Consider the following 9,465-nt stretch of genomic DNA (forward strand, 5'->3'; position numbering starts at 1 on the left):
TGGACAAGTTATAATCTCCACCACTTATTATTTTAACATTTAACTTTTGGTTGTGCTTTGTAGACAAACAACCTTGTAACATTGTTTATAGCATTTACAAGTTAAAACAGTTTATCTTCAAAGCAATGCTTTTACATGCTTTAGAACCAAAGCAGATTTTTTTGACTGAATAGTGAAAATTTATTCATTTCTTTATTGCATACTTGATACATAATAACCTTATGTAATGCTCTATGGAGGAGTTGAAGATGGTTCTTGCTCTCCAGATACTGGACTTTAATAGGGAAGACAAAGTAGGCACAACACATGATTACAGTAGTGTGCCAATAGGTGCCAAATGTTATACCAGGGCATAGAAACAAGTGCTTACTCTTAGATAGTGACCAGGAAGATGTCATTGAAAAGGTAATACTTCCACTGAAGATGAGTACAGTTGTAGAATGAGTACAATTTTTGTTAGAGTAAATATGAGAGGAAGTCAATGCAAAGTTATGAGAATAAAAAGAGAGAATTTCTAATCTGAAAGGAAGGAAAGATTCATCCTGAGAACAGTAGAGAAAGCAGGAAGATCAATTTTGAAAAGGCCTCGAAACACAGACAAGTAAGAGGTTTTGCTATGTTCTCTTGCTTTGGGGCTGAGGGTGAAGTACAATGGAAATTTTTTCATCATTTGAGTGTCTTGATCAGAGTAGTGTTTTTTAAAATTGTTTTGGTAGTGTTAGGAAAGATAGGTCAAGTTGAGAAAGAAACAGGAAGGAAGATAATTTTATTGCAGAAACACAGAAGTCAGATAATAAAGGACTAAAGTAGGGAGTTCTTTGTCTTGTAAGTTCCATAACATTTTTTAAATGATAGTACTGATCATCAGATTTAATGCAAGCAAGTGGAATTACTTGACAAGATTGAGAAGAAGGAGTGAGGAAGGCAGTGGATGTGCTCTGATGAATGTATTGGTTTGCTAGGTCTGCTACAACAAAGTGTCACAAGCTGGATGACTTAAACAACAGAAACTTACTGTCTCTCAGATCTGGAGGCTAGAAGTCAAAATTTAGTGTATCAATAGGGTTGGTTCTTTCTGATGGCTGAGAGATGGATCTGTTCCTGATCTCTCTCCCTGACTTTGGATGGCTGCCTTCTCCCTATGTCTTCACGTCATCTTCCCTCTATGTATATCTCTGTGTCTAAATTTCCCCTTTTCATAAGAACATCTGCCATATTGGATTAGGGTACACCCTAATACCCTCATTTTTACCTTTCTGTAAAGACCCTAAAACTACCTCTGTAAAGATCTCCAGATAGGGTCACATTCTAAGATACTAGTGGTTAGGACTTCAATGTATCTTTTGGGGGGACACAATTCAATCCATAACACTTGGCTTGTAGCGGCATAACCACAACATTTACATGGAGTCTCCCTGTGTACATGTCTGAGTCCAAATTTCTTTTCATAAGGACACCAGTCATATTGGATTAGTGGCCTACACTTCTGTAGTAGGACCTCAAGTAATTATATCTACAGTGACCCTGTAAGGCTCTTTGTGACCCAAATAAGGTCACATTCTGAGGTACTGGGGGTTAGGACTTCAACATATTAATTTAGTGGGAGAGGTGGGGGAGGCACAATTCAACCTACAACAATGAAGATTCACCTAAAGTATTCATTGCTCTAAAAAACTCAATACATTTTAGGAAAATCTATCACATATTCATATATTCATAAAGATATGTGACTTATAACGCCTTATAAATATGACAATGAGAGAACAAAAACATTATCAAACTCAGTTTTTATTGATTCTGCTACTACGTAGATGTGGTTAAGACAAGGCATCCTAAAACAAAATTTAATAAAATGATCTTAACAAGAATAACCAAAATTTCCTTCTTTCGACTTCAAAGCTTCCTTTCATTAACATTGTTCTTAAAAGAGAAATAACACTTGCAGCCTAATCTCAATTATCAACTTGTATATTTTGGTTTGCATCAGCATATCTCTAATGCACCACTTTATTGGTGCATTATTGCCACTGTACTCATTAAATTCAGCTTTCCCCAGTCCTCCTCATTTTAATTGGAAAAAAGCTAAAAAATACACTGTTTTGAAAAATTCAAACACTGTAGAAGAATACAATGAAAGGTCCTTTCCTGAGCGCCCTACCTCAATCCTAATCTCGTAAATTACAAACAGCATATTGTAACTCCATCCACATATTTTCTATGCATGAATGGGCATATATATGTCTTCATTCCACATTTTATTGTAAATGGGATTTATTTTGCACATTGTTTTATAACTCATTTTTTTCTACCTAACAATTTTAGAGCATTTTTCCACACAGGTACATATCAATCTAACTCATTTCTTTAAAACAGCGGCAGATAATTCTTTGTAACAAATTTAACTTGTGTAAGGAGTTAAATATGTTACAAAGGGGATTTGGACGACCACCAGATGGCACTAGCACACAGTTTATTTGGGCAGAGATTGACAGATTTGCCTGGGGGTGAGGGTGGGGGTTGGGGTGAGGACAGGGGCAGTTTCTCAGTGACAGCATGATACCTTCCAAAGGCAAGGGTGCACAGGCGACTTTCCAGAAGGGACATAGAGGAAGATCTGAGGGAGAGTATTTAGAGGGGGTTATGTGTCTAGGTGGTGTCACTCAGCAGCATGGTGGGAGTCTCTGGGCAAAGAACTCTGAGAGAAGCAGTGGCCCCAGCGTTTATCTAATCTATGGGACCTATGGTTAGCAGATGTTGGGTGCAGTTTCTCAGGATGTGCAAAGCAGGCAGGCTGTAAATGGCTAACAATCTGCTTTTGGGGGCTATATTTTAAAACAACTGGATGTGTAGAAATTTAAGTTTGGCCGTAGCCGGCTTTTGAGTTAAGAAGTCCCAGGCTGCTGTGAAGAAGTAAACAACACAGGGCCAGGGGCCATTTTAACTCATTTTTGTAACAACTAGCTCCTTATTGAAAGGCACTTTATGATTTTTCCCAAGCCAAAAAGAAAAGAAGAGTCACAAACAGGTCAAAAGAAAAATTACTAATTTATATATGACAAAAGTCTAATTTTATAAGTATAATCAGGACTCCTAGAAATAAGAAAAATGATAAATTAGCACAGCTGTCTCCAAAATCAACCTTGAAAACTACAGAAACAGGAAGAAATTGGCTGTTGGAAGTAAATGAAGACTGTGAGAAACCCCTGGGAAGAAGGGAACTAGTGACTAGAAGGGAGGGAGGCAGCCGAAGAGCACAGCAGTCACATGGGGAGGAGGATGTCCCTGGAAGCTTGGGAGGCTCTGGGGAGGTCATATATAATCTTAGCTCTTGTCTCCCGTACTTCACCTGGGAAGCTTTGCTGCCCTCCCAGTGTTGTGAAGCACTACCAGAGGAGCACAAGGCCAGGCTAATAAGGAGCTGATAGAAATAGGACTAGGATGAATTGTACCCTGGAATGTTCAGGCCTCCAACTCCTGTCAGCAGAGGTTATTGGTCCCTGGAGCTCTCTCCTCTGAAACTTAACCCTTCTGCTTTCCTCAAATTCTCAAAAAAGGATTCAGTTGAGAATGTGTCTTTGAGCACTTCCCTAATAGACAACACAGAGCAGTATAGCTGATTTCATCAGTAAATTAATGTGATGCTACAGGTTCAAAGAAACTAGGTACCTATATTAGTCCATTTTCACACTGCTATAAAGATACTACCGGAAACTGGGTAATTTATAAACAAAAGAAGTTTAATTGACTCACACTTCCGCATGGCTGAAGAAGCCTCAGGAAATTTATGATCATGGCAGAAGGTGAAGGGAAGCAAGGCACATCTGACATGGTGGCAGGAGAGAGAGACAGCAAGCATAGGAAATGACAGACACTTATCAAATAACCATGTCTTATGAGAATTCCCTCACTATCACAAGAGCAACATAGGGGAAACTGCCCCCACGATCCAATCACCTCCCACCAGGTCCCTCCCTTAACATGTGGGGATTACAATTTGAGATTAGATTTGGGTGGGGACACAGAGCCAAATGATAACATTCCACTGCTGGCCCCTCCCAAATCTCATGTTATTTTCACATTTCAAAACCAATTATGCTTTCCAAACAGTTCCCTGAAGTCTTAACTGATTCCAGCATAATCTCAAAAATCCAAGTCCAAAGTCTCATCTGAGACTAAGCAAGTCCCTTCCACCTACGAGCATGTAAAATCAAAAGCAAGTTAGTTACATCCAATATAAAGTGGGGGTACAGGCATTGGGTAAATGTTCTCATTCCAAATGGGAGAAATTGGCCAAAATAAAGAGGCTACAGGCCCCTTGCAAGTCTGATATTCCGATACCCAGCTGGGCAGTCATTAAATCTTAAAGCTCCAAAATCTCCTTTGAATATAGAGATGGAAAATACAAAACATAAATACAAAATATAAAACATGATGCAAGGCAGTGTACAGCTTCTGTGGCTGCTTTCACAAACTGGTGTTGAGTGCCTGCAGCTTTTCCAGGAGCACAGTGCAAGCTGTCAGTGGATCTACCTTTCTGGTGTCTGGTGGATGGTGACCCTCTTCTCACAGCATCACTAGGCAGTGCCCCAGTGGGGAATCTGTGTGGGGGCTCCAACTCCATATTTCCCTTCTGCATTGCTCTAGCAGAGGTTCTCCATGAGGGTTCTGCCCCTGCAGCAGACTTCTGCCTGGACATCTAGGCATTTCCACACATCCTCTGAAATCTAGGCAGAGGTTCCCAAACCTTAACTCTTGTCTTCTGAGTACCCACAGACCCAACACCACATGGAAGCTGCCAAAGCTAAGGGCTTGCACCCTCTAAAGCAATGGCCCAAACTCTACCTTGGCCCCTTTTAGCCATGGCTACAACTGAAGCAGCTGAGATGCAGGGCAGCATGTCCTGAAGCTGCACAGAGCAGAGGAGTCCTGGGCCAGGCACACAAAGCCATTTTTCCCTCCTCACCCTCTGGGCCTGTGATGGGAGGGGCTGCAATGAATTTTCTGACATGTTCTGGAGACATTTTCCCCATTGTCTTGGCTATTAAAACATTCAGCTTCTAGTTACTTATGCAAATTTCTGCAGCTGGCTTGAATTCCTCCCCAGAAAATGAGTTTTTCTTTTCTACCACATGGGCAGGCTGCAAATTTTCCAAACCTTTATACTCTGTTTCACTTTTAAACATAAGTTCCAATTTCAAACCATCTCTTTGTGAATGCGTATAACTGAATGCTTTTCAGAATAAGCCAGGTCACCTCTTGAATGCTTTGCTGTTTAGAAACTTCTTCCATCAAATACCCTATATCATCTCTCTCAAGTTCAAAGTTCCACAGATCTCTAGGGCAGGGGCAAAATGCTACTAGTATCTTTGCTAAAGCATAGCAAGGGTGACCTTTGCTTCAGTTCCCAATAAGTTCCTCATCTCCTTCTGAGACCACTTCAGCCTGGACTTCATTGTCCATATTACTATCAGTATTTTGGTCAACAAGCCTCTAGGAAGTTCCAAACTTTCCCTCATCTTTCTGTCTTCTTCTGAGCCCTCCAAACTGTTCCAACCTCTGCTGGTTACCCAGTTCCAAAGTCGCTTCCACATTCTCAGGTATCTTATAGAAATGCCCCACTACCTTGGTATCAGTTCTCTGTATTAGTCTGTTCTCATACTGCTATAAAGATACTACCTGAGACTGGGTAATTTATAAACAAAAGAGGTTTAATTGACTCACACTTCCACAGGCTATACAGGAGGCATATAGGGAGCCCTATATGCCATATATGCCAAGGAAACTTGGCAGAAGGCAAAGGAGAAGCAAGGCACTTCTTACATGGTGGCAAGAAAGAGAGCAGGGGAAATGCTGGACACTTATCAAACAACCAGATCTCATGAGAACTTCCTCACTATCACAAGAACAGGATGGGGGAACTGCCCCCGTGATCCAATCACCTCCCACCAAGTCCCTCCCTTGACATGTGGGGACTACAATTCAAGACGATATTTGGGTGGGGACACAGAGCCAAACTATATCAGTACCTGAGGAGAACTTATAATAAAAGAAACTTGAAGCACACTGAATAACACATACCACATGAAGCAGATTTATTGGAAGAGATGGACCAATAAGCAAGCACCATATATATCTGCAAGAGTTAAGGAAGGATATTGATGATAGAACAAAGAAATAAGAAATTACTTTTAAAAATTGTAAATATTTATTTTAAAAATGAGATAGTTAAAATGAAGATGACAATAGGTGGGATATACAGCAAGATGATTACATCAAATAAGAAAATAGTAAATCAGGGCCAGGCGTGGTGGCTCACGCCTGTAATCCCAGCACTTTGGGAGGCTGAGGTGGGCAGATCATGAGGTCAGGAGATTGAGACCGTCCTGGCCAACACGGTGAAACCCCATCTCTACTAAAAAATACAAAAAATTAGCCGGGCATGGTGGCGGGTGCCTGTAGTCCCAGCTACTCGGGAGGCTGAGGCAGGAGAATGGTGTGAACCCGGGAGGTGGAGCTTGTAGTGAGCCAAGATCGCACCGCTGCACTCCAGCCTGGGCAACAGAGCGAGACTCCGTCTCAAAAAAACAAAAAACAAAAAACAAAAACAAAAAAAACAGAAAATAGTAAATCGGAAGATCAATAGAAACTCTCCCTAGGGCAGCAGAAATAAATAAAGAGATGGAAAATACAAAACATAAAAATGAAAAGGGGGCAATAAAAGTTAGGGAGGATAGTATTATCAATGCCCAGATAGTATAAATTCCAAAAGCAAATTGAAAGAGGCCACAGATTACCAAAGATGTATGTAACAAAATACCAATACCTAGAAACATAAAGTAAAATTGAAGAAGAGCAAAGACAGCAGATATTATTAAACAATTCCGCAAAGCTAAACCACTCACAAAGGAATGAAATTTAAGATGCAACTTCACAATAGGAATATTGGACTCACATTCTCCAAGAGAATATGAACTAATATATTTGTGGTTAAAAAAATTTAACATATTGCATTGTGAAGTGTGGCATATAAACATAAAAGTGCACAAAATGGAAACGTGAAAAAGAAAGAGTAATTATAAAGCAAACACCAAGGTAACCACCACAGAGGTGAAGAATATTGCTGGCCACCTATAAAAGTATCTGTAAAAAATGTAATCCATTTTGCCTGATTTTAAATTTTATATAAATGGGATTATACTGTATATATTTTTTTGTGCACTGCTTCCTTTACATTATGATAAAAATTTATCCAACTGGTTTAGTGTACTTGTCCTTTGTTCATTTCATTGCTATCTAAAATTTACCACACAACACTGTTATTACAAATAACACTACTGCTATTCTTGTATATGTACCCTGAGAGAAATGTGCCAGAGTTAGTCTATGGTATATACCCAGGAATGACACTGCTGCCTTAGAAAATGTACACATTTTAACTTTTAGGTAATGCCTAACTGTTTTCCAAAATTGTTAAACAAAAGTTGGCTCTTTGAAGTCAGGAATAAGACAATGTTGCCTGCCCTCTCTCCCTCCTTGTCTCCCTCTCTCCCTCCCTCCCTTCCTTCCTTCCTTTTCTTCTCTTTCTCCTTTCTTTCTTTTTCTTTCTGCTTTCTGTCCCTTCTCTCCGTCTCTTCTTTCTTTCTTTTGAGATGGAGTCACTCTGTTACCCAGGTTGGAGTGCAGTGGCAGGATCTCCACTCACTGCAACCTCCACCTCCCAGGTTCAAGCAATCCTCCCACCTCAGCCTCCCAAGTAGCTGGGGTTACAAGCATGCAGCACCATGCCTAGCTGATTTTTGTATTTTCAGTAGAGACAGGGTTTCACCATGATGGCCAGGCTGGTCTCACACTCCGAACTCCTGACCTCAAGTGATCTGCCTACCTTGGCCTCCCAAAGTGCTGGGATTACAGACGTGAGCCACTGCACCTGGGTGTATTTTACAAAAATCTAGGCCTGTAATTTTAACATAGGAAAATATTTTATTATTCTTAAAAAATTTAAAAAAAAACACCTTTGGCTCTCCCGGTCCTCAATTACGTAGGTTTTTGTCCTTGTTTCAATAGTTTATGCTTTTTATTCTATTCTACCTCCTTTTTTGACCTTATTTTGTTGGTTTTTTTTTTTCCCTAACCTCTTGACATATGGATGGCTAGTTCTTAATGTTCAGTCTTTCTTCTTTTCTAATATTTATACTGAAGCCTCTAATATTTACATGAATGGAGCTAATTATTACTTCAGGTGCATCCCACTAGTTTGGATATTTATTGTTTTTGTTATTGTTCAGCCCAAACTATTTTCTAATTCTCATTATGACTTCTTTAGTTCCTGACTTATTTCAAAGCACAATTTTTAAATTTCTCAATATATGACAATTCTCTAGTTGTCTCCTTGTTATTGGTTTCTAGTTTAATTATGAGGTGGTCAGAGAACATATTCTATAGATTTAAATCCTTTCAGATTTGTTTAGACTTGCTTTCTGACCTAATGTGTGATCAATGTTGTTAACTATACCATACGTATTTAAGAACACACGTATTCTTGTAAGAACTGGAAGCACTATTCTGTGTAGATTTGTTAGGTCAAATTTTGTTGTGGTCAAGTCTTCTCAGTCATTGGTGATTGTTTATCTGTTTGTTCTATTATTTACTGAAAAATGGCATGCTAAAATTTCCACCAAGGCTGTTGGTTTTTCAACTTGAAACTGCATCGGCTTTTCCATTATATATTTTGGGGCTGTGTTACTAGATGCACATGAATTTAAAATGGAAACTTTTTATCATTATGAAGTGATCTTTTATATATACCATATTACTTTTTGACCTAAAGTCTATTTCGTATAACATTGATATATGTATACCAGGATTGTTTCAGTTAGCATTCACCTAGCATAACTCTTTCCATTTATTTTTCTATTTTCGTGTACCTTAGATGTGTCTTATAAACAGGATACAGTTGGATGTTTTCAATACAATCTGACTTTTTTTTAGTTGGGGGCAGTTATTTCGTAATTACTGTTTTATGGATTTAAATCTACTGCCATATTTTTTTTTGTTTTCCTGTCTTATGTTTCATGTTTTCTCCTTTATTTTCTTAGTTGGAATTACCTGAGTATATTTTAATCATTCCATTTATTTTATTTTCTCTACTTGTGTGTAGCCTGTACAAAGTTAGGTACCCTGTTTCTATTCTTTTAGTTGTGACACTAGAATTATGCATTTGTACTTATTGTATCAATACCTAATGTTAATCAATACTTAATCCTCACACATACATACAACACACACATACACACACATCTGAGTATATTTGTTAAAGTACAGGAAAATATCTCTAAAGATGTCTCCAAATCATCTACAGTGGTTATTGCACGGGGCAAAGGGGAGGTTGAATTGGGAGGGGAAAAGTTGGGGGATTCATTTTGCTTATCACAGTGGTGCATACATATATTAAACAATGACAAAACA

Source organism: Homo sapiens, chromosome 4 (genome assembly GCF_000001405.40).
Source record: "Homo sapiens chromosome 4, GRCh38.p14 Primary Assembly".
In the NCBI taxonomy this organism is placed as follows: domain Eukaryota; kingdom Metazoa; phylum Chordata; class Mammalia; order Primates; family Hominidae; genus Homo; species Homo sapiens.